Source organism: Homo sapiens, chromosome 17 (genome assembly GCF_000001405.40).
Source record: "Homo sapiens chromosome 17, GRCh38.p14 Primary Assembly".
Classification (NCBI taxonomy): Eukaryota; Metazoa; Chordata; class Mammalia; order Primates; family Hominidae; genus Homo; species Homo sapiens.
In genome coordinates this window covers 82,256,835-82,280,399 of record NC_000017.11, presented here as the reverse complement: position 1 = coordinate 82,280,399, position 23,565 = coordinate 82,256,835, and the positions used below count along the sequence as shown (strand labels likewise).

Below are 23,565 nucleotides of genomic sequence, written 5' to 3'. Positions count from 1 at the left end.
TCTTGGCTCACTGCAACCTCTGCCTCCCGGGTTCCAGCGATTTTCCTGCCTCGGCCTCCCGATAGCTGGGACTACAGGTGCGCACCACCACGCCGGGCTAATTTACATATTTTTTAGTAGAGATGGGGTTTCACCTTTTTGCTCAGGCTGGTCTCGAACTCCTGACCTTGTGATCCACCTGCCTCGGCCTCCCAAAGTGCTGGGATTACAGGCGTGAGCCACTGCACCTGGCCTTTTTTTTTTTAAATGTAGGCAAAATTCACATAACAAAATTCATCATTTTAACTATTTAAAAGTGTACAATTCAGTTCATTTTAGTATATTCGCAATATTATGTAACCCTCACCTCTGCCTAGTTCTGAAACATTTTCACCGTCTCGAAAGGGAAGGAAACCCCCTCCCGATTAGCAGTCACTCCCCACATCCCACCCAGCCCCTGAGGACCGCCGATCCAAGGTCTCTGTCGATGAATCTGCCTATTTTGCACATCCCGTGTAAATGGACTCACACAGTATATGGTCTTTTGAGACTTGCTTCTGCTGCTGCTGAGCATCATGTGCTGCTTTTTTTTTTTTTTTTCAGATGGAGTCTCGTTCTGTCGCCCAGGCTGGAGTGCAGTGGTGCAATCTCGGCTCACTGCAAGCTCCGCCTCCTGGGTTCACGCCATTCTCCTGCCTCAGCCTCCCGAGTAGCTGGGACTACAGGTGCCCGCTGCCACGCCCGGCTAATTTCTTTTTGTATTTTTAGTAGAGACGGGGTTTCACCGTGTTAACCAGGATGGTCTCGATCTCCTGACCTTGTGATCCGCCCTCCTCGGCCTCCCAAAGTGCTGCAATGACAGGCGTGAGCTACCACACCCGGCCTCATTCTTTTTTATGACTGAATAATATTTAATTATATGGATATAGCACAATTTGTTCACCTGTTCATCAATTATAGGCATTCTGATGATGATAAATAGTGCAACTGTGAACATTTGTGTACAAGTTTCCGTGTGGATAGATGTTTTCAATTCTCCTGGGGCAGAGCCTGGGCGTGGAATTGCTGGGTATGTGGTAAGTCTATGTTTAAGCTTTTGAGGAACTGTCAGACTGTTTCAAAAGTGACTGCGCCATTTTACAGTCCCATCAGCAAAGCACACAGATTCCGGCTCAGGGCTGCCTTTAGACAAGATGGTGCCTGGGCAGGATTTGAACTATAAAACACCTCTCTGGCTGCGGTGGGGACAGTGGCCTTGAAGGGAGCGAGAGTAGTCTTCACGTTGCGGGAGGTCAGCCGGGAAGTACATGGCTCAGATACCAAGTGAGGGCCGGGAAGCACGTGGCTCAGATACCAAGTGGGGGCCAGGTGCGAGTCCCAGGAGGTCAGCCGGAGAGCACGTGGGTCAGACATGAAGTGGGGGGCTGGGCACACCAGGGCCCCATGGGAAAGGCAGGTGTTCCTGCTCCCCCAGTGTCCTCCTGGCTCCCTGGGAAGTCCCTGTGTGTTTTCCTTCCTTAACTGTGCTTATCAGGTGGTCTTTGTTCCAAAGTCATTCGCAAACAAGACACCAACAGTTTCCCACCACGTGGCTCTACTCCTCACACCCTCCACCCGATAAGATGAAATCTGTAGAAGACATTGATCTCCCTTTCTCCCCTCTTCCCACTTTTTTTTTTTTTAATTTTGCCATCTGTGTAGTTCCTTGTAAAATTTTTTTTTTTTTTTTTAAGACAAGGTCTTGCTAAGTTGCCTAGGCTGGTCTCAAACTCCTGGGCTCAAGTGATCCTCCTGCCTTTGCCTCCCAAAGTGCTGGGATTACTGGTGTGAGCCACCGTATCCAGCCTTCCTCACTTCTGATGGGAAGACTTCCACTCCTCACTGCTCCCTGCCTCCAGGTTGTAGTGCTAGCCTACGGACGAATTCCTTGCAGCAGCATTTCCTGTCGAAAATCTGTTTAACACTTACTTTCCCCAGTTCCAGAGAGGTGATCATTATTTATTCTCCACCATATGTTAGCATGCATGCAAGTATACACACACACGCATGCTGTGTGCATGCACACACGAACACATGCACGTACACACACGTGCACATATGCAAACATATACGTACATGATGTGCATGCCCGTGTAGTGTCTGTGCATAAATGCACAAACACATGCAGACACATGCACACATCCATTTCTAACATGTCCATACACTCACAATACACACGTCTGCATGCAAGTGTGCGCAGGTGCCGACTTACACAGAGTGCTGCTTGACATGGTACCCCTCCCCTTCCCCGCCCTGTCTGAGATCTGGGATCTGTTTCATTCGTTGTTCACGAGGAGGCCTTCCTGGCCCCTTCCTGGCTGGGCTCAGGGTGTTAGACTCGGAATCCTCCCACACTCACAGACGCCTTTCTTTGCCCTGCCAGGCAGATGGTGTCTGTGCCAGGCACGAGTCCTGGGAGCCGTCTCAGCTGTCTGAAGATGTTTTTCTGCAGCTTCCGGTTACATGTAAGCCGCTATCTCAGTCTGTTCATGCTGCTGTAACAAAACACCATGGACTAGGTACTTATAAAGAACAGAAATTTATTTCTCACAGTTCTGGGGGCTGGAAAGTCCAAGATGAAGGTGCTGGCATGTTCAGCGTCTGGTCAGGGCCTGGTGTCTCCTCCCGAGATGACAGCTTGTTACAGCATCCTCCAGAGGGGAGGAACATGGTGTCCTCACACAGCAGAGAGACAAAAGGGGAAAAGGGACCAAACTCCCTCCATCAAGCCCTTTCACAAGGCACTGAGCCATTCACGAGGGCGGGGCCTCACGATCCAAGCCCCTCTCCAAAGTGCCCCCTCCACTGACGCACTAGGCAGGTCAGTCTCTAACACACGCTTTTGGGAGGTCACGGGCAGGGGACAGCAGAGTCCCAAGCCAGTCTGATTCTTTCCTTTTGTTGTTGTTGTTTGTTTGTTTTTGAGACACAGTCTCGCTCTTGTTGCCTGGGCTGGAGTGCAGTGGCAGGATCTCTGCTCACTGCAACCTCTGTCTCATGAACTCCAGCAATTCTCTTGCCTGGCCTCCTGGGTAGCTGGGACTACAGGTGCACGTCACTACGCCTGGCTAATGTTTGCATTTTTAGTAGAGACAGGGTTTCACATGCTGGCCAGGCTGGTCTCAAACTCCTGACCTCAGGTGATCCACCCACCTTGGCCTCTCAAAGTGTTGGGATTCCAGGCATAAACCACCGCGCCCAGCCTGATTCTTTCCCTTTGTTAGCAGATTCTTTCTAAATGGGTATCTGTAAACTTTCCTCTTTCTCTGTTTCTATAGTTTGGGTGTTGGTCCCCTTCAAACCTCAGGTTGAAATCTGAGCCCCAGTGTTGGAGGTGTCTGGGTCATGGGGGCAGATTCCTCACGAACAGTTTGGTGCTGTCCTCTTAGTAATGAGTGAGTTTTCACTCCTACTAGTTCCAGCAAGAGGTGCTTTTAAAAACACCTGCACGGCCGGCACGGTGCCTCATGCCTATAATCTCAGCACTTTGGGAGGCTAAGGCGGGCGGATCACGAGGTCAGAAGTTCAAGATCAGCCTGACCAACATGGTGAAACCCCGTCTCTACAAAAATACAAAAATTAGCCGGGCATAGTGGCGCATGCCTCTAATCCCAGCTACTCAGCAGGCTGAGGCAGGAGAATCGCTTGAACCCGGGAGGCGGAGGTTGCAGTGAGCCGGCATTGCGCCACTGCGCTCCAGCCTGGGCAACAGAGCGAGACTCCATCTTAAAAAAAAAAAAAAAGGCCTGTACTTCCCTACTCCTCCAGCTCCCTCTCGCACACGGTCTGCACACACTCCAGCTGCCCTTCACCTTCTGCCATGAGTGGAGGCAGCGGCAGCAAGGCCCTCACTAGAGGCAGACGCCCGATCTTGAACTTTTGAGACCTCAGCATCGTGAGCTGTGTTAGGCTGTGGTTGCCTTGCTATAAAGAAATACTTAGGACTGGGCAATTTTAAAAGAAAAGAGGGCCGGCATGGTAGCTCATGCGTGTGATCCCAGCACTCTGGAAGGCCAAGGTGGATGGATCACTTGAGCTCAGAAGTTTGAGACCAGTCTGGGCCAGTAAGACCCCATGTCTACAAAAAATATGAAAAATTAGCCAGGTATGGTGGCGTGTGCCTGTAGTCCCAGCTACTCAGGAGGGTGAGGTGGGAGGATCACCTGAGCCCAGGAGGCAGAGGTTGCAGTGAGCCGAGATCACGCCACTGCACTCCAGCCTGGGCAACAGAGCGAGACCCTGTGTCAAAATAAATAAATAAATAAATAAATAAATAATGAAAAGAGGTTTACTTGGCTCCTGGTTCTGCAGGCTTTACAGGAGGCATGGTGCTGGCCTCTGCTCAGCTTCTGGGGAGGCCTCCGGAAGCTTCCAATCATGGTGAAAGGCAATGGGGGAGCGGGCACGTCACATGGCCAGAGCAGGAGCGAGCGAGCGAGTGAGCGAGAGAGAGAGGTGCCCCACACTTTTTAAATAACCAGATCTCAGGAGAACTCACTATCTCAAGGACAGCACCAAGGGGATGGTACTAAACATTCCTGAGAAATCCACCCCCATGACCCAGCCACCTCCAGCCTTGGGGTTTACAATTCAACATGAGGTTTAGTGTGGACAAATATACAAATTACCTCATGATTCTTCATAAATTTCCCAGCCTCAGGTGTTTCTTGATAGCAACAGTAAAGGAGCTAAGACACTGTGGCGTTCAGTTGTATCAGGACAGACCTGGGTGTGGGCTGGCCCTCATACGTCCTGCCGGGAGCTCTGGGGGCTTTCCAGTCTGCAGGTCGGGACGTCCTTCTACTCTGAGATGTTCTAGTATCATCAAACCGCCCCACAGACCATGCCTGGAGACTCTGCCTCACACATCCGTTCCCAGCGGTCACCAGCCCCGCATCCCTCCCTCGTCACCGCATCTGTGCGTCTCCTCTGTGACGGAGGCTGTTCCTTGGCAATGACTATCCTCAGCTTCAGCCCCCTGCTGACAGTTTTCTAGCTCAGAACCTGGCCATGTCTGCACCCTCCCTGTCTTCTCGGAAGGGGTGCTGTCATTCCCTGGGCTACACACCTGCTTTGTCCTCCTCTCTCTGACCCCAGGGCTCCAGGGTACCACTGTCCTCTTCCTTTGTCAGTTTGTTGTGGCTGGGGCTGGTGGTGGGGGAGCCACAGCAATCAGCCTGCCTCACCTTGCCCAGCCCGCATGTTCCCAGGGCTCCTGCCATCCCCACTACACCACAGCCCAGTCCGTGTGCACGGGTTATAGAGTCAAGACACAAACACACAAAAGCCAGGCAGACGGGCACAGTACCTGCCGCAGCTGCATGAAGCTTGGGGCACTATGGGTGAGAAGAGCTAGAAATGTTGGGGCCATCAGAGCCCAGGAGGACCAGCCGAGGGAGGAGCAGCTGACAGGTGGGCAGGTGCCCCTAGTCAGGGACAGCAGGACTCCCCAGGAAGAAGGATCACAGCCACCCGTGGGAGAGCTGGACTCTGTTCATCAACAGAAAAGCCGTGAGCGATTCCGCCAACAAGGTCAGTTTTACTAGTCTGGCAGCCCCCCACCCCCGGCTTCTGTAACTCAGAAACTGGGCAGTTCCGACTGCCCATCCCTCATTAGTGACTGATGGTGGTCTGGCCGGCGGCATCTCCTGTCTCCAGGCCCTGCTATGTAATTTCGGGAATGGACGCCCGTCTCCCCGACCTGACCTCCAGCTGTTTGGAGCTGAGGGGTGGAGAGGAAAGACTGGGGGGTGGAGAAAGGCGAGCACCACTGTGGGGCCTGTGGGGGCTGCTTTCCTCTTCTGCAGTGACCTGGACGGGCTGAGGCTGCTGTCTCACTCACACGGCGGTGCCCACACCACAGCCCTGGTATGCTAATGCGTCAAAACACACCTTCACCTGTTTCACATTCTTGAGTTTCAGCGAGGATGCGACAGGTCTCGAGACACATGGACGTGGGACCATGGGGACGGGTTCTTCAAGGTCCCCATGCACCTGCAGCCTGGGGGGGCTTGTCTGAAGGGCTTTCTTCCCAGTGATGGGAATCAAAGGCCCCGATCTTTGAAGCTGGCCATCAGCCTGAACGTCCACTCCTTGTTTCCTTTGCAAGGAGGAACATTCAGATCCAACACAGATAAGAATGTTGACTCCGTCTCCAGGCCGCAGGGACTGGAGGGAGGCAGGTGGTCTGGCCTCATTTTGTGAAAGGTGGTGGCTTTGTCCTCAATCTTCAGGCTGGACATCAGGACCTCCCAGGGCGCGGGCCTGCTCTGTCTCTGGCCTTAGGTGTCAGGAGGTAAGGCCGCAGACGCTGACGTACTGGGATGCCCCAAGCCCGGGAACTGGCAGCCCAGTGAGGGGGTCTCACCTGTGTCCCCTGAGCCTGGCCTGTCACTCTGTCCACGCCTCAGCTACCTGTCCCCTCCTGCAAAGGGCACCGCCTGTCGCGAGGAACTCACCTGGCTTCCTCGACATCTCGGGGGACACACGAAAAGCCCCCGCGAGAGCAGCAGGAGCCTGCACGTGGAAGGGGCTGGCGGCCCGAGGTCCCGGGGTAACAGGAGGGCAGAGGGGCTGGGCACGGCGCAGGGTCGGGAGGAGGCCTGGAGCGCTCGCCCCGCCCGGCCCCGCCCCTGGAGCGCCGCGGCCCCGCCCCGCCGGGTTGCTAGGGGAAGTGACGTCACAGCGCGATGGCGGCGGCTCCTTTAGGCAGCTGAAAGGGGATTTAGGCCCGGAAGATCCGAGTCCATCCGCGGCGGGGAGAGGGCAAGCGGGACCGGTAGGGGCCGGAGCAGCGGCGGCGGCGCTCGGACTGTCCCATCCGCCCCGTATTGAGGCGCTGGGAGCGGCGGGGCGACAGGAAAGCGATGGTGAAAGCGGGGCCGTGAGGGGGGCGGAGCCGGGAGCCGGACCCGCAGTAGCGGCAGCAGCGGCGCCGCCTCCCAGAGTTCAGACCCAGGAAGCGGCCGGGAGGGCAGGAGCGAATCGGGCCGCCGCCGCCATGGAGCTGAGAGTCGGGAACAGGTACCGGCTGGGCCGGAAGATCGGCAGCGGCTCCTTCGGAGACATCTATCTCGGTGAGGCCCCGCCGCCCCCGCCCGCCGCCCGAAGACCCGGGCCCTGCGGCTGCCAAGACCAAGCGCGATCGCGGAAGGAAGTGGTGGCCCCCGCGGGGTCTCCGCGCAAGTCCCGGCACCGCCGGATCGTGGCCAGAACCCAACGGCCACTAGGCTAGCGCGGCCAGGGGTGGGGAGGGCAGTGGGGAGCGGACGTGGGGGAGGGGCAGGACCAGGTCGGGGGAGCAGGGTCTGGAGAGGGGAGGGTTGGGGAAGGAGGGGATAGGGGAGCTGACCCGGGGTGGGGCATGGTCTCTGGGGAGCCGACCTGGGTAGGGGCAGGGTCGTGGGGAGCGGACTCGGGAAGGGCTGGGTGGGGCGTGGGGAGGCGGGCCTGGGGGAGGGGCAGGGCGGGGGTGGGGGCAGCGGGCCGTGGGAGGGGAGGGGGTAGGGCTGGGGCCGCGAAGCGGGCGTCGGCTTCCTCTACGCCTAAGGTCACCGCAGTAAACAAAGGCCACGCTCTTTCTTCCGCAGCCCGGTCCGGGGCTGTCTGGCTGCCCCCTCAGAGGCTGCCCCGGTGTCTTGCATTCGTGGGGGAAAATGTCAGAAAGACCCAAATGCCGTGTGGAGCGGGGGAGTGGCCCGGCTAGGAGTGGGGCTTGCCCTCCCGCTGGGGGTTCTCTCTGAACGGTTCCCCTTGGCCTTGGAGCGGTGACTGAGTGCAAATGAGCAAGGGTTAAGTTTAGGTGAATGTAGAGAAAGTCACACAGGATTAAGATGCTGGCAAGATGAGAGGCAGATGAGGTAGTTGTACTCATGAGGTGTCCTTTAGACTGTAACAGTCTCAAGGTAGATTTCAAAAACAATGGGATTAGAAGGTTTTGGGTTGTGTCATATTTACAATGGAAAAATATGCACGTGAACACAAGTGTGATGAAAGGTTGGCTTAAATCTTCAAGTTTGTAATTTTTTTTTTTTTCCTGAGACGGAGTTTCGCTCTTGTTGCCCAGGTTGGAGTGCAATGGCGTGATCTCGGCTCACCGCAACCTCTGCCTCCCAGGTTCAAGCGATTCTCCTGCCTCAGCCTCCCGAAAAGCTGGGATCACAGGCGTGCGCCACCACGCCTGGCTAATTTCGTATTTTTAGTAGAGACGGGGTTTCTTCATGTTGGTCAAGGCTGGTCTCGAACTCCGGACCTCAAGTGATCCGCCCAGTTCGGCCTCCCGAAGTGCTGGGAAGCCACCGCGCCTGGCCCAAGTTTGTAATTTTAAAGTAACTTAATTTTCCGCACTTGTTAGTGGGATTGTGCAATGCACGAGTTATTCCAAGATCCCCTGAATTTGAGGATATGTAGCCTGAGGCGGTGTGCCTGCAGAGGGGCTGCTGCAGACCTTTGAGGGGAGCTGTTTTCTGTTCCAGCAGCCCTAGCTTTGGGGTGTGTTTTAACTGGGGCACCTGTCAGCTAGGGTCAGGAATCCCCTGGGATGTCAGTAATGCCTCTGGTCATACCTTTTAGATGAAGCCACATGTGGACAGTCTCCAGTTCTCACACCCTTCCCACTTGTCACCAGAGAGAGGACTCAGGACCCGGTGGGCTGACAGCGTTAGGACGAATCCACACATATGGGTGGCTCATACTTTCGGTGCCTGGTTAACCTGCCAGGTGACCCTGTCACATGCCATATTGTTGCTTTTGAACCTGTACATATGCCTTAGTGGACTGCTGAGTAAGCAGGCTTTAGACATTTGGGTTTGGCTATTAAACATTTATACCAGGTGGTCAGCTGGATGTGTTCTTGGCAGTGTTTGGGAAGTCAGAGTGCTTGGTCAATGGAAGTCGTTTGGCTTATTTATAGAACAATGGATTTTGGCGAAAGTTTTAACCCCAGGATCTGAGTTACACTGCAAAGCCAGTCCATTAGCCACCTTTAGGCAGGCATCAAAAAGGAGTATTTTGGGCCGGGTGTGGTGGCTCACGCCTGTAATCCCAGCACTTTGGGAAGCTGAGGTGGGCGGGTCGCTTGAGGTCAGGAGACCAGCCTGGCCAAAGTGGCGAAACCCCATCTCTACTAAAAATACAAAAATTGGCCAGGCGTGGTGGTGGCTGCCTGTAATTCCAGCTACTTGGGAGGCTGAGGCACGAGAATTGCTTGAACCTGGGAGGCGGAGGTTGCAGTGAGCCAAGATCACACCACTGCACTGCAGCCTGGGCGATGGAGTGAGACTCTGTCTCAAAAAATAAATAAATAAGAAGTACTTTGAAACTATCTGTTCTCTGATCTGAGACCTTGTCAAACAACTTTGTGCTTTCCAAAGATAGATTAAGACAAATTTTGGTGTGGTTGTCACCAAGTAATTCCAGAGGTGGAGGGTGGAAGGCTGTCTCCTCACTCAGCATTCTACCCTCCAGGCCTCACCTCGCGCTGGGCATACAGTCATGCTGGATACGGGATTGCGGGCGGCTGTGGCTCTGACACCCTGGGGTTGGAGCCCCCAGACAGCCGTCCCAGACAGCCACCCATCAGGGTACACGTCCAGTTACTTGAGTGGGGTTAGGCACAGCTGATTTTTTTTTTTCCCATCAGCATTGGCTCCTAGCCTACACTGTGGTCCTTTCAGACGACCCCACGGAGGAAAGGCGAGGTGGTCACGTTAGCCGGAGTAAGGCAGTTTGAAAGAAGCGTGGGTCTGAGCAGAATGGCAGTTAGAGTCAAAGATGGCTGATCTGAAGACTATGAGATGGATCGGTCATCCCCACCATAGTTTTGTTTGGGCAGCCAGTTACACATAAATCGAGGAACTAGGTCTTCATCTTGACCTCTGTGTGTCGTGTATATTCTAGTATGAGTATCGTTAAGACCATTCCTACTGTTGTCACTTTGGTATCCTCCAGGTGGGGTTCACCTTGCTTTGAGCTTGGCTTTTGGGTTCTTGTTTTTCTACCGGGGACTTTCTGTGCTTTCAGATGTTTGAGACCAGGAAGGGGGGAAGGCTGTGCTTCAGTGGAGTGCCTGTGGGCTAGAAGCGTGGTGTGGGCCTGCCTGCCCCGACCCTGCTGTGACAGTTGGAGGGCGGGTGCTCACTGCAGGGCCCTGCCAGGTTGTCGTGTTCCAAAATTGCCCCTTCAAAGGGGGCAGTATTTTGGGGCTATTTCTTGAATGCCCAGGCTTTGGAAAGTGGGACCCCAAAAAGAACAATCTGTCTTCAGTCTGAGATTGCCAGATCCGCAAGGCCCTTCAGGAGGGCAGGTTGGGAAGGTGACACAGCCCACACACACCTGTGGAGCGCACACCTTGGCAGCCTGTTGTGTGACCTGGCCCCGGCCCTGTGCCGCCCTCCGCATCCGTGTCCATGTGGTGTGGCCATAAACCAGAAGTTCTTTCACTTATGCTGGCAGAGTACCACTGGAAATAAACTTGGTAACATTTGAAAACAGCCAGTGTCCTTAATGTGGACCATGAGTTCCCAGCCCCAGAACCACAGGGGTGTCTGGCGGAAGAGGACTGTTCAGCTGGGCTAGGCTAGAGGGAGAGGCCTGCTGTGTTCACCCCGCAGGCGGCCCATGCAGAGAGGCAGTGAGAGCCCAGCTGGTCCTGCCTCTGTTCTCACCTGTAGTGTGTTCTGGAGGTTAGTGGCAGGACTGGATTACCTGGCTGGTGGGCTGGACAGATGAATCTGTTGGCATCTGTACTTGATCCCATCGCACCATCAGCTTGTCAGGGCCTCCATTTGTCCACCTGTTACCTGGATGGACTGACTTCATAATGTGCACAAGCATCTTTTGGGAGCTAACTGCTTCATCTCTGAAGCACACGTTTTTCCCCTCACTGACTGATTTCTCAAGAGGCAGCCTGCAGGGTGCCTGGTATGCAATAGGGCCCCAAGATGCTGACCAGCCATGAGAGGAGAGCGACCACCTGTTCTTCCTGTAGCTTCTGGGGTCTCCTCACTGCAGTGTTAGGGCTGTAGCCTCTGTTGACCTTGGACTCTCCTTAACTCAAGCATCTGTAATGAGAAGTCGTGGTACTGCTGACCGCTGCCCTGCGAGTTGACCTTTGTCCTGCTGCTCAAGGCGTCTCCCTGTTTTTTTTGTTGACAAGACAATCCTTAATGGGAGTTGCCAGCATCCAGGCTGGTAATTCAGAATTACCCTCCTGTGCCAGGACAGGGCCACACTCTGGTTAGGTTCGCTTAACTCACCATCTGCTTTTTTTTTTTTTTTTTTTTTTTAAGACAAAGTATCATTCTGTTGCCTAGGCTGGGGTGCAGTGGCGCGATCTCAGCTCACTGCAACCCCTGCCTTCTGGGTTCAAGCAGTTCTTCCGCATCAACCTCCTGAGTAGCTGGGGTTAGAGGCGCACACCAGCATGCCTGGCTAATTTTTTTTGTATTTATAGTAGGGACGGGGTTTCACCATGTGGGCCAGGCTGGTCTCGAATGCCTGACCTCAAGCGATCCATCAGCCTCAGCCTCCCAAAGTGCTGGGATTACAGGCGTGAACCACCACACCCGGCCACCATCTGCTTTTGGCTGCTGAACTTGAGGGACGTAATTTTGTTTTTGTAGGACTAACATTAACTGATACCCAAACACGGACTGAGGAAAGCCCTGTCTCACAGCAGACCAGGATTGTTGAGCTGCAGGGAAGAGTTGAATTTGTTTTGTTGACAGAATGTCTTTTGTATAAACAGACAACCCAGACAACCTGGTGATCTGCGTGTCACCAGGTTTTGGTTTGTTTTGAATCTGACACCCAGGGCTCAGGGTCTTTCAAATTCTCATTCCCCTTCTAGTAGTGCTTCTCGGATTTAACCTGTGGTGAAGAACCAGGCTTGTAATTTTCAACCTGTTGCATGCCAAAACTTGTGTATAAGGTCAAAATGCTGCAGCGATGCCAGATTGCAGCCACAGTTACTGAGCGCCTCTGTGCTGCCTTGTGCACTGATGGCAGCTTGAGGATCTGACTTTCAGCAGCATGGCTGGTAGAGTGTGGGGGTGCCCCCGGTGGGCGAGGTGGGACAGGGCTGCAGGCCAGGGGGTCTGAGCAGTGCTCAGCGACCTTGAGGCAGGTGGTGCCTTTGGAATGCACAGACCTTGGTGTTCTGCTTCTTGATGCTTCTGCCCAGCAGGTGACGAGGTCCCTGCTGCAGGCCCCAGAGAGTTGCCATCCTCACATCTGTGTACAGGACCTGCATCCAGCTACTCCCCTGTAGAGACTCGGGGCGACCTTGGTGTCGGTTCCACAGGAGGGCTGGCTCTGTGTGCTTGCACATCTGTGTGCTTGCACAGCGAGAGGTCCCGGCCCCATGATAGGGTGTGATTCGTGTTGTGTGCCAGAGCGGCTGGTGATGACTTTTGCCCCACGACAGTCAGTGCTGCAGGTGTGACTGGCAGACATTAGCTTTATCAGCTACAGAGAAGTGGAGTGAGAGATGCTAGTCAGCAGACTGTGTGGCCCCAAGCCATCGGCCCCAGGCCATGGGGTCACTGGGCTGCCAGCTGGCGAGGGTGGCGGTACTGTCCGAGGCTGCACTGCGCCTGCTTGGGGGTGCAGGGAGCTGCTGACATAACTAGTGGGATGAGTCACCCTCCCTCCCGGCTGGCGAGTTGAGTTCAGAGTCCAGGTCCTTAGAGGAACTCAGAGTGGTTTTTCATTTACACAGTACATTTTTCGATGAAGTCATTTCTCTTGTAATTGGATAGACTGTCCCAACTGTAGGCAGGAAGAACAAAATTTGTTACCTCGAGTACTCTGAAGAGTCTCTGTTGATAGTAAGTGACGTTCTTAAATCTAGAATGGTCACTGGCGGTGACCCGGTGGTGGCGATTCCTGTGGAACGCAGCAGTGGCAAGGGGTTTGGGGCCCAGGCTGGAAGTGGCACATCTCATGCCGCCATCTGGGCAGACGAGGGGCTTCCTGGGTGTTCAGTGGACGTGTGGATATCAGCAGACTGCTCTAGTGCTCACTTGACCTTACTCTGCTTTTCATCAGGGAACCTTATCTTAAAGAGCAGTAAAAGAAACTGTTAACCCATTCATCTCCACAACTCTCATGAAACAGACGTCAGACCTCACCACTGATCTCCATTGACAAGAGAAACCGAGTCACTAAGAACTAGCCAAGTTGCTTTGCCCAGCACCACAGTCTCTCAGGGAAGGAAGTCTCCCAGGGCTTTGTCTGGGCTGCTGAAGCTAGTGTGAATTCTTTTCCACATAGCCACGCTGTTGGGAAGGATCCAGTGTCCTTTTTTTTTTTTTTTTTTTTTTGAGACGGTGTCTCGCTCTGTCACCCAGGCTGGAGTGCAGTGGCGCGATCTCGGCTCACTGCAAGCTCCGCCTCCCAGGTTCACGCCATTCTCCTGCCTCAGGCTCCCAAGTAGCTGGGACCACAGGTACCCACCACCATGCCCAGCTAATTTTTTGTATTTTTAGTAGAGATGGGGTTTCACCGTGTTAGCCAGGATGGTCTCAATCTCCTGACCTTGTGATCCGCCCGCCTTGGCCTCCCAAAGTGCTGGGATTACAGGCGTGAGCCACCGCGCCCGGCCGATTCCAGTGTCTTATACTCTGAAGGGACTCGTGAGGGAAGAGGAGAGAGCTGGGTATGTACTGTGTGCAGCTTCTTTTTCTCTCCTGTTCGGTTAAAGCTCCTTGGATGCCTCATGCAGTGGATTTGGGGAAGGCTTTGGGCCAGATTCAAACTCAGGAGCATTTGTGGGTGAACCTGAGAGGGATGGTGGTTGTCACATTTGTCATTTATTGGAGTAAAGCAGAGATGGAACATTTCTAGATAAAAAGTGTAATTTTGCCTCCAAACTCATAGTCCGATCGTCATGGTATTAGATGTGTCATTGGTTTTAGCCATAGACTGATGAAAGATGTGTGACCGGTGCGTGTTGGTAGGTGGTACATTTAGGGCGTTGAAAACAGGCGATTCTTCTGGCTTTGTGTCCCCAGGAAGGGAGAAGGGCCTCCCTCCGCCTGGTGGAGGGTGTTTGCCTGCAATAGGTTGGCTAGAGATGACTCCCGCTGCCTGTGATGCCAGGCCTGGGTGGACTGGGACTGTGGCTATTGGGTAAAAACCTAGCCCTTCCTCAGGGGGAAACTCAAACCACCCCCTCGGAGGCCTATCAGGCAGCATGGAGAAAAGGGAATGGCACCGTGGAGCTCTACCACAGGCTGTCTGGGGCGGGCAAGTGCAGGGGCCTTGGGCAGGGCTGATGGGAGGATGCAGACCAGAAGGGCCACTGTGGAGAGGGAGCTGCAGCACCTGAAGACTGGTGGGCGGGTGATGGAAGCCACATAAACTTTCTGTGCAGTTCAAATTCGTCCTGTTGTGAAAATGGGAATATGGATAACTTCCCCCAGAGATGTGTCAGCCGATTAGCCCGCCTTACTATGCTAGGAAGGAGAACACATCCCTCACTTGGTCCTTCATGGAAAACACATAGTGCTTGTTGTTTCTCCAGCATGTTGGGTTATTTGGTGGATACCAGGTAATTCCTGTTGTGGTTTTCTTTCTTTGCCAAGGTACGGACATTGCTGCAGGAGAAGAGGTTGCCATCAAGCTTGAATGTGTCAAAACCAAACACCCTCAGCTCCACATTGAGAGCAAAATCTACAAGATGATGCAGGGAGGAGGTAGGTCTTTACCAGTCACAGAGCAACACCAGGGTTCTGTTTGACAAGGGAGAACAGCAACTCAGCATTGCTGGTTAAAATAAACCCAAAACTGGTTCTGGGCAAAAGGGAGGGAAGTGTTCTCCACACCCTGACAAAGCAGTCACAGCTTCCTTCAGAGAGTCTTGGGTCCAGAGACCCTCCCTCAACACAAAGAAACATCTTATGGGCCGGGCATGGTGGCTCACGCCTGGAATCCCAGCACTTTGGGAGGCCAAGATGGGTGGATCATTTGAGGTCAGTAGTTTGAGACTAGCCTGGCCAACGTAGTGAAACCCCGTCTCTACTAAAAATACAAAAATTAGCCAAGTGTGATGGCGTGCACCTGTAATCCCAGCTGTTTGGGAGGCTGAGGCAGGAGAATCGCCTGAGTCTGGGAGGCAGAGGTTGCGGTGAGCCGAGATCACGCCACTGCACTCCAGCCTGGGCGACAGAGTGAGACCCTGTCCCCCCCAAAAAAAAAAAAAATCTTATACCATCTTGTCCTTTTGTTTAAATTTTGCTTCATATTGGGTCATGGTTTCTGAAATCAAGAGTGTGTGTGAATAGGCCAGACGCAGTGGCTCACACCTGTAATCCCAGCACTTTGGGAGGCCGAGGCAGGCGGATCACGAGGTCAGGAGCTCGAGACCATCCTGGCTAACACAGTGAAACCCCGTCTCTACTAAAAATACAAAAAAAGTTAGCCGTTCGTGGTGGCGGGCGCCTGTAGTCCCAGCTACTTGGGAGGCTGAGGCAGGAGAATGGCGTGAACCCGGGAGGCAGAGCTTGCAGTGAGCCCAGATAGCGCCACTGCAGTCCAGCCTGGATGAAAGAGCGAGACTCCGTCTCAAAAAAAAAAAAAAAAAAGATTTTGTGTGAATTTCAATGCATGCTCCCCGTGGTGTCGTGTGCCCCTCAGTGGTCACTGGAGCTGTTGCCAGTGGCACGTGTGTTGCTCAGTGGGGCCTTCCTGATGTGTGATCCCTGAGTGAGGCCTCTGCTCCTTCGCATGCTTTGCTTATAGCTTGGGGGAAGTCCCTTCATACTCTCTGGGCTCGTTTTCTCCGAGCAAAACAAGGGTTTTGAACTTGGCGACCATCATGACCTCTTCCAGCTCAGTTACTGTCCCAGTTCTGCGAGCCCTCAGCCCAGGGCCTTAGGTACCTGGTGTTCCACGGTGGGCCAGGTGTGGAGCAGAGCGCTCCTGTCCTCCCCTCAGAGTCCAGCTCTTGCGAGTTCCCTGGACTTTCAAACAGTTGGGCTGATGGAGCAGGAGGGTATTCTCTGCGGGGATTTCAGAGCCATGAAGCGTGTGTCTCAACAGCAGAGCTTCGGTCTGGCAGGAGCCCTCTTTGGGAACAGAGCTTTTTGTCTGAAGAGTGGCTGTGCCACGTCTGTGGAGCCCTCCCAGTGAGAAGGCTCCGCGGCACATTTGTAGGTGGATGGTTGGGTGAGTCCCCTTGGGCAACTGGCCAAAGGAAAACCTGTTCAGGGCCTCTGTTAGCCCTTTTGTCACGGGAAAGGGAGGACTGTTGATTTGATTCTTTGACATCTTTTCTCAGCACAAGCACGTAATCTGTGCTACTACAAGAAACCGACGTTTCTAAGTTTATGTGACACAAAATATCTTTGGCAGCACCTGTGGTCCTGGGGAACCCGTTACAGAGAGGGGCACCCAGTGTGTCCCATCACGGGCCTCACGTGACCAGAGGAGGCCACAGGAATGAAAAATCCCATCACCAACCCAGGGAAAGCTCAGCAGAGACTCCGCCCTGGGAGCCTGTCTGGCGGCCCTTGGTGGTGGACTGGCTTCTCAAGGGCCTGGAGCCTGCATTGCCTTGAAGGTGTGACGAGCCAATAGAGCAGGGTGGTGCGGGGTGTGGCCTTGGCCTGCGGGAGCCTGGTGCTGGGGTCAAGTAAAACCTGCAAGCTTAAAAACACCTTAAGTTTTTACGAGAGATGTCTCCAGGAGAACTTGCAAGCCAGGGGTACACAAGGGCAAAGGGAAGAAAGCCAGTCCTTAGAAGCCCGGGATGGTCACTGGGGAAGCCAACCCTGAACCAAAAAGTGCTACGTGGTTCCGGACAGGACTTCTCCACTCGGCACTAGTGCCATTTGTAGTGGTGCGTTCTCTGCATGGTAGATGTTGGCAGCACCCCTGCCCCTAGTTGTGATACTCAAAACTTTCTTCAGACAGTGCTGAAGGCCCCTGGCAGGCAAAGTTGCTTCCCCTGTGGCCGCTGGCTTAAGAGAGTAAAGAAGCCTGCACCTTCATGTTCCTGCCCATGGCACCTTCTCTAGGATCCTGGAAACCAAATAGGATTTCAGAAATGGTTTTTCTCCCATTTGGGCTTCGAGCGCATTGCCATGTCCCTGACCATTCCAAAATGTAGGTCAGGTCTTCTGTGTTAAATGCACAGACACCTGGTGGATACTGTCAAGGTTTTGGTTTTTGTTTTTGTTTTTTGTTTTTTGTTTTTGTTTGGAGACAGAGTCTCACTCCGTTGCCCAGGATGGAGTGCAATGGCGCAATCTTGGCCCACTGCAACCTCCGCCTCCTGGGTTCAGGCCATTCTCCTGCCTCAGCCTCTGGAGTAGCTGGGATTACAGGCATGAGCCACCCTGCCTGGCTAATTTTTGTATTTTTAGTAGAGATAGGGCTTCACCACGTTGGCCAGGCTGGTTTTGAACTCCTGATCTCAGGCGATCTGCCCACCTTGGCCTCCCAAAGTGCTGGGATTATAGGCGTGAGCCATCGCGCCCGTCAGATACTGTAAAGATCTAAAGATCTGCATTTTAGAAAACAAATGATGTCCGAGAAGGCAAAAGGCCTAATTCTGGTGGTGGTTCTTGAATTCACTTTGAGACTAAACCGGGGAGTTGACAAATAATGGGAAGAAATTGTTTCATCCAGAAGCCACCAGATCTTGCCACTGCCATTCTTGTGCAGTGTCTGCTATGGATGATGCAGATTGTCCCCTTGTGCAGATTGTCCTGTTATGGGTGGTACAGATTGTCCCCTTGTGCAGTGTTTGCTGTGGGTGGTCCAGATTGTCCTGCTATCTCTGAAAAAAAGGGCAGCAAGCACCACTCATTGCGGTTTTCCTTCCTTTCACGTGAAAGTCAAGTGGTGGTGCCAGGTTCTGATCTTTACGTTTGCTTGATGGATGCTGCCTTCCAGGAGAAAGCTCCACAGCGAGTGCATTCTGTTCTCTGCAGCTTGGGAAGAATGAGCCTTAAAAACACACTGGTCACTGCCCATAGCAGCCCTGGGCAGTGGGTACTGAGCTCTTCAGCCTTATGTTGCAAATGAGGAAACTGGGTTTAGAAGGCTGTGTAACTTCACAGAGGACAGACTTGAACTTGGGCATTCTAGCCCCCCAGGCTACTGCTGAAGCAGCTGTCTGCTCCCAGAGAAGGAAATGGCGGCCACCCTACGTGGCCTTCAGCTGTCAGGAATGTGCCCCAGATGCTCCCACCTGTCCCAAATCTGGTTGGGACAATAGATTCAATACCTGAAATAGTAGAAAGAAACTAAAAGTAGCTATGTTGGTGGAAGATTTGGATAGACACCTAGTTTTTATGAAAACCTACTGGACTGGTGGGCAAAACCTGGGGACAGTTGTAACTGCTCTTTCCAATCCTAACATCCCCCAAAAGCAGCCTTAGCTCACTCCCTCCTTGGGGAACCCCTCAGCAAAGGACATTTACTTAGTTCACAGCTGCTTTTCGTCAAGGCTGAGATGGTAGGCATGGTTTGAGGGAGGGAAGAGGGGAGTACGTGTGTAGAACCCGGGCCAGTGGGTGACGGTTCTGTGGCTGAGGGTGGGCGACTGTCTTCCATCATCTTTTTCTTGTGAAATATTGTACAACACCAAAGAATGTATGTAACATGTACGGTATCGAGGACATTAAAATCAACAACCAGGACCCTGCCCTGCCCACCTGAGAGGGAACACTCCCTGTGGAGCCCATTCGCCCGCCCAGCCCCATGTCTGTGCCAGGACCTTGCTCACCTGTTTGTAAGTTTTTGTTGCTTTGTCATCCTACAAGAAACTTTTTTCAAAATCCAAATAATGAAATTATCTAGAAACATTTTAGTTATATAAATCATTTTAGGGTTCAACTGCTGAAAACTTCATGAAAATTTCTATTTGCATTAATGCTCAGTCCCCACATTTATATTGAAACTTTTCACAGATGAGAGTGGAGCATGTCTTCATGTATCTGGCCTTGTCCACCCGATTTTTATCCCCACGCATATGTTTAGCTACCTTCGGGCACCATGAGGGAAAAGTGTTGAGACTACAAATAGCAGCATGAGTGGCCGCTTCCCACCGTGACAGCACCTGGGCAGGGCAGCAGGGTGGCCCTGGATGACTAGCACACTTGGGCGCAGGCAGCCTTGGTTCTCTTTTCAAACCCATTGGCTTCACTTGTTCCTGCAAAATCACCAGTAGCAGTAAGTCCATAGAGCACAAGTGCATTGAGAGGCAAGAGCATGTTGCTTTTACTGTATTTTATTCATTCTCTAATGCCATGGATGACGGGGTACATTGTTACTTACAGCTAACAAAAGGGGTGATTTCTGCTGAGACATTTGGGGGGTAGGGAGGAAAAAGAAACAGGCCAGGTGCAGTGGCTTACATCTGTAGTCTCAGCTACTCTGGAGGCTGAGGCAGGAGGATGGCTAGAGTTCGGGAGGTTAAGGCTGCAGGGAGCTGTGATGGTGCCACTGCCCTCCAGCCTGGGTGACAGCAGGACCCCTGTTAAAGAAAGATGGTGTCAGTAAATACATCATCAGTCACATCAGTCGGTACACCATCAGTCAGTACACCATCAGTCACATCACTCAGTAGACCATCAGTCTCATCACTCAGTACACCATCAGTCACATCAGTCAGTATACCATCAGTCACATCAGTCGGTACACCGTCAGTCAGTACACCATCAGTCACATCAGTCAGTACACCATCAGTCACATCAGTCAGTACACCATCAGTCACATCAGTCAGTACACCATCAGTCACGTCACTCAGTACACCATCAGTCACGTCACTCAGTACACCATCAGTCAGTACACCATCAGTCCCATCACTCAGTACACCATCAGTCACATCACTCAGTACACCATCAGTCACATCACTCAGTACACCATCAGTCACATCAGTCAGTACACCATCAGTCACATCACTCAGTACACCATCAGTCAGTACACCATCAGTCACATCACTCAGTACACCATCAGTCACATCACTCAGTACACCATCAGTCAGTACACCATCAGTCACATCAGTCCGTACACCATCAGTCACATCAGTCAGTACACCATCAGTCACATCACTCAGTACACCATCAGTCAATACACTATCAGTCGCATCACTCAGTACACCATCAGTCACATCACTCGGTATACCATCAGTCACATCACTCAGTACACCATCAGTCACATCAGTCAGTACACCATCAGTCACCACTCAGTACACCATCAGTCACATCAGTCAGTACACCATCAGTCACATCACTCAGTACACCATCAGTCACATCAGTCAGTACACCATCAGTCATATCAGTCAGTACACCAGTACACCATCAGTCACATCAGTCAGTACACCATCAGTCACATCAGTCAGTACACCATCAGTCAGTACACCATCAGTCACATCACTCAGTACACCATCAGTCACATCAGTCAGTACACCATCAGTCATATCAGTCAGTACACCATCAGTCAGTACACCATCAGTCACATCACTCAGTACACCATCAGTTCAGATGGATCAGGAGTCCATGCCACATAGTCTTTTGAATACATGAAAGTTTTAGTGTTACGCGATGCAGTCTGTATTCTGTACCTTTCTTTGACCCAGAGTATTCCTGAGATTCTTCCCCATCGATTGCAGCTCTAGGTAATTGATTTTCATTGTTTGATCATCTACATAGCTGTATACAGTAGCTTCGTCTGACTCATACTGCGTTGAGCCCTGGGGAGCTTCTAGCATTTGCTGTTAGGGACAGTGCTTTTGTGCACATCTTGTCCATGTGTCTGGGGCACACATGCCAGCACCTACGTGTGAAGTTGCAGTGGCTGTTGCTTGGTACGTGCAAATGTCCAGTTCTGCAGGATAACGCAGACGTCTGCATATTGATACATATCGATTTTTCCAAGGTGGTTATGTAGATTTCCATTCCCCCCTGCAGTGCAGCCAAGTTTTGTGTAACCCACATCATCCTCAGCCTCACAACACTGTTTTCAGCAGGGCAGAGGGTGAAAAAGGCAGAAATAAAACTGCTGTTACTGGCATGTGATGTGATGTAATTTCCTAAATAGGGATCTCAGAACAGATTAGAGAGTTGAGCAAATTTAAGATCAAAATATAAAATCAATTCATTTTGTTAAACCAACAATTTAATTGGTTACAAAATGTAATTTAAAACATAATGCTTACAGTAGCAAAAAGGTATCTGGGGTAAATTTTAAGACAGATAAGATCTGCATGCAGAAAATATATAAACTTTATTGAAGGACATTTAAGGAAGATTTGCTTAATTCTCCTCTATGTTCAGAGAAAGGAAGATGCCAGGTGTCAGGTCTCCCAAAGTTGCTCTTAACATTCAATGACGTTCCCATCGACATCCAGCCACTTCTCTTTCCTGACAAGGTGACTAGAATTCACTGAGAAGAGTGCAAGTCCAGGATTAATTAAAACACTTGTGAAGAAGAGGGCCATTTGCCCTGCAAACACCAGCACTTACTATAAAGCTGTCGTGATGATACTTTGTGTGGTTCTGGCCACGAGAAGGGCTTAGAAGGAGGACAGCCTAGAACACTGAGCACACCGGGCCTCAGGGGTTTCTAAGTATTTATCATTCTCTGTTAAGAGGAGTCCTGAGTGCTTGGAGAAGCAGCTGATTCCAGGGCTGGGGCAGAAAGAAAGAAGGTGAATCTGGAACACATGGCAGGCATTTGTTATGAGGTACGGGAAAAAGTTTGAAAGGTGATCTGTTGCCTAAATTTGGGACAGTGAAAACTCCAAAATGAGTATTAAGAAGAAGGAACTGTGACTCATTGGAGTGGAGAAAGGGAATTTGGGAATCCGTAATGCTGCATCTAGAGAGAGAAAAGAATTCACAAATCCGTAATAAGGTTGAGTATCTGAAACACCCAAAGTCGGGAACTTTATGAGTGCTAACATGATGCTCAAAGGAGATGCTAATGGGGGCAGTTTGGATTTTCAGATTAGGGATGCTCGACTGTGACGCAGAATGCAACTATTCCCAAATCTGAAAGTAGATGTGTATTTGCATATATATAATATATATATATACACATATGTTCAGGTTTATATATACATTTATGTTTTTTATATAAATATATACATATATATAAAAGACCGAAACATAAATACACATATATATGTATATGCCTCATGCCTTTAACTTTTTTTTTTTTTTTTTTTGAGACGGTCTCATTCTGTCACCCAGGCTGGAGTGCAGTGGTGCAATCACGGCTCACTGCAGTCTCGACTTCCTGGGCCTAAGCCATCCTCCCACCTTAGCCTCCCGAGTAGCTGGGACTGTAGACACACAGCACCATGCCTAGCTAATTTTTAAAATTTTTTTGTAGAGACGGGGGTCTCAGTATGTTTTCTTTCTGGTCTCAAACTTGGACTTAAGTGATCCTCCCACTTCCACCTCCAACGTGCTGGAATTATAGGCCTGAGCCTGGCCAGTTAAAAAACTTTTCGACGGTGGAATACAGTCGAAATCTGTAGTAACGTTTCATGGCTTTCCCTGCTGATGTGAACATCCGGGTCTGTTCAGTTAACCTCTTACTCCAGGTTTGTTTTCCACTTTGGATGCCGGACATTGAGAATGTCACGCATGCTGTGCTCTTCCACATTCTGCAGGCTCCTCCTCAGCTCTCTTCTGGGATGAGGTTGGGTTCCATGGATCTGTTCAGTCTGGCGTTTGTGCTTATGCTCCCAGCAGTGCAGGGGGCAGCCCAGGGCGCCCTCTCACGGCTCCTTCCCGCCCTCAGGCACAGCTGTCACTGGCTGGCACGGCTGTCAGTCATTGGCCGGGCCCAGTGTTGTGGAAACCACCCTGTGATGTGTGAGGGTGTGTGTTTTGTTCTTTCCCTTAGTTACTTAAGGTGTGAGGGCGAATCAGGCCCCTATTACTGTTTTTGTTAGAAGTAGAAGTAACTTTAACACTTTAAAAAAAAACAATAGCATCTCTTTTTGACGCTGAGGGCAGAAACTATTTTTTTAATGTAAGATACTGAAAGCACTCATAAAGCAAAAGATTAAGGCATTCATATTCATGAAAAGTCTTTTCATCAAGAAACTCCAGAAGAAAATAAAAAACATGCCATTAACTGAGAGATACTTGCCTCACAAAAAACCTGCAGTGGTTTAGTATCTAGAAGTTATAAAGAACTACTATGAATAGGAAAAAGATACCATGATAGAAAAACTTAGCCAAAAAAAAAAATACATGCCTTCAGAGGAGAGGCGATACATGTGGCCAGTAAAATGAGCTGGGCATGGTGGCGCCCACCTGTAGTCCTACCTACTCAGGAGGCTGAGGCAGGAGAATTGCTTGAATCCAGGAGGCGGAGGTTGCCGTGAGCCGAGATGGTGCCACTGCACTCCAGCCTGGGTGACAGCGAGACCTCGTCTCAAAACAATAAAATAATGAAACAATTTTTTAAATGAATTGAATTTCCCTAGTGGTACCAAAACTTGCTTTAAGACTAAACTAAAAATCTGTCTTGCCATGGAAGGACATAAAAGGTTTATCCAGGCCGTTCACAAGCCGTATGTGT

At 51.5% G+C, this 23,565-nt stretch overlaps 1 protein-coding gene and 1 long non-coding RNA gene across 12 annotated transcripts in view, besides 5 other annotated features; one reads left to right on the top strand and one right to left on the bottom strand.

The window, feature by feature from the left end:
* On the bottom strand, positions 1,957–6,622 carry LOC124904089 (uncharacterized). 3 transcript variants are annotated; one of them, XR_007065952.1, is made up of 2 exons: positions 5,327–6,622; positions 1,957–2,513 (listed from the first exon to the last, which is right to left on the bottom strand). It is a non-coding gene; the product is annotated as an uncharacterized LOC124904089 (long non-coding RNA). The 3 variants fall into 3 exon arrangements; XR_007065953.1 differs by having other exon boundaries at positions 1,957–2,510; XR_007065954.1 differs by lacking the exon at positions 1,957–2,513 and adding an exon at positions 2,542–2,669.
* Positions 3,200–3,699: an enhancer, noted in NCBI's record as "H3K4me1 hESC enhancer chr17:80234577-80235076 (GRCh37/hg19 assembly coordinates)". NCBI's record gives its function as "activates a minimal SCP1, AML or CMV promoter by ChIP-STARR-seq in primed H9 embryonic stem cells {active_cell/tissue: H9 hESC(primed)}" and the evidence as "EXISTENCE:reporter gene assay evidence [ECO:0000049][PMID:30033119]".
* Positions 6,561–6,770: a silencer, noted in NCBI's record as "silent region_9206". NCBI's record gives its function as "represses an Ori minimal core promoter by ATAC-STARR-seq in GM12878 lymphoblastoid cells {active_cell/tissue: GM12878}" and the evidence as "EXISTENCE:reporter gene assay evidence [ECO:0000049][PMID:35858748]".
* The window catches only part of CSNK1D (casein kinase 1 delta), a 34,732-nt gene continuing 17,816 nt past the window's right edge, over positions 6,650–23,565 (top strand). For 7 of the 9 annotated variants that reach the window (XR_007065265.1, NM_001363749.2, NM_001893.6 and 4 more), the window contains exons 1-2: positions 6,700–7,094; positions 14,604–14,714. Coding sequence is in view for 7 of the 9 variants with exons in the window: in NM_001363749.2 (NP_001350678.1) it covers positions 7,019–7,094; positions 14,604–14,714 (187 nt within the window). In the remaining 2 variants the exon portion in view is untranslated. Of the gene's footprint in view, positions 7,095–8,297; positions 13,676–14,603; positions 14,715–23,565 lie in introns of those variants that run through there. The other 2 variants (NR_110578.2, XM_047435381.1) reach the window with 2 other exon arrangements.
* Positions 7,011–7,200: a silencer, noted in NCBI's record as "silent region_9205". NCBI's record gives its function as "represses an Ori minimal core promoter by ATAC-STARR-seq in GM12878 lymphoblastoid cells {active_cell/tissue: GM12878}" and the evidence as "EXISTENCE:reporter gene assay evidence [ECO:0000049][PMID:35858748]".
* Positions 7,251–7,300: a silencer, noted in NCBI's record as "silent region_9204". NCBI's record gives its function as "represses an Ori minimal core promoter by ATAC-STARR-seq in GM12878 lymphoblastoid cells {active_cell/tissue: GM12878}" and the evidence as "EXISTENCE:reporter gene assay evidence [ECO:0000049][PMID:35858748]".
* Positions 13,984–14,715: an enhancer, noted in NCBI's record as "H3K4me1 hESC enhancer chr17:80223561-80224292 (GRCh37/hg19 assembly coordinates)". NCBI's record gives its function as "activates a minimal SCP1, AML or CMV promoter by ChIP-STARR-seq in naive H9 embryonic stem cells {active_cell/tissue: H9 hESC(naive)}" and the evidence as "EXISTENCE:reporter gene assay evidence [ECO:0000049][PMID:30033119]".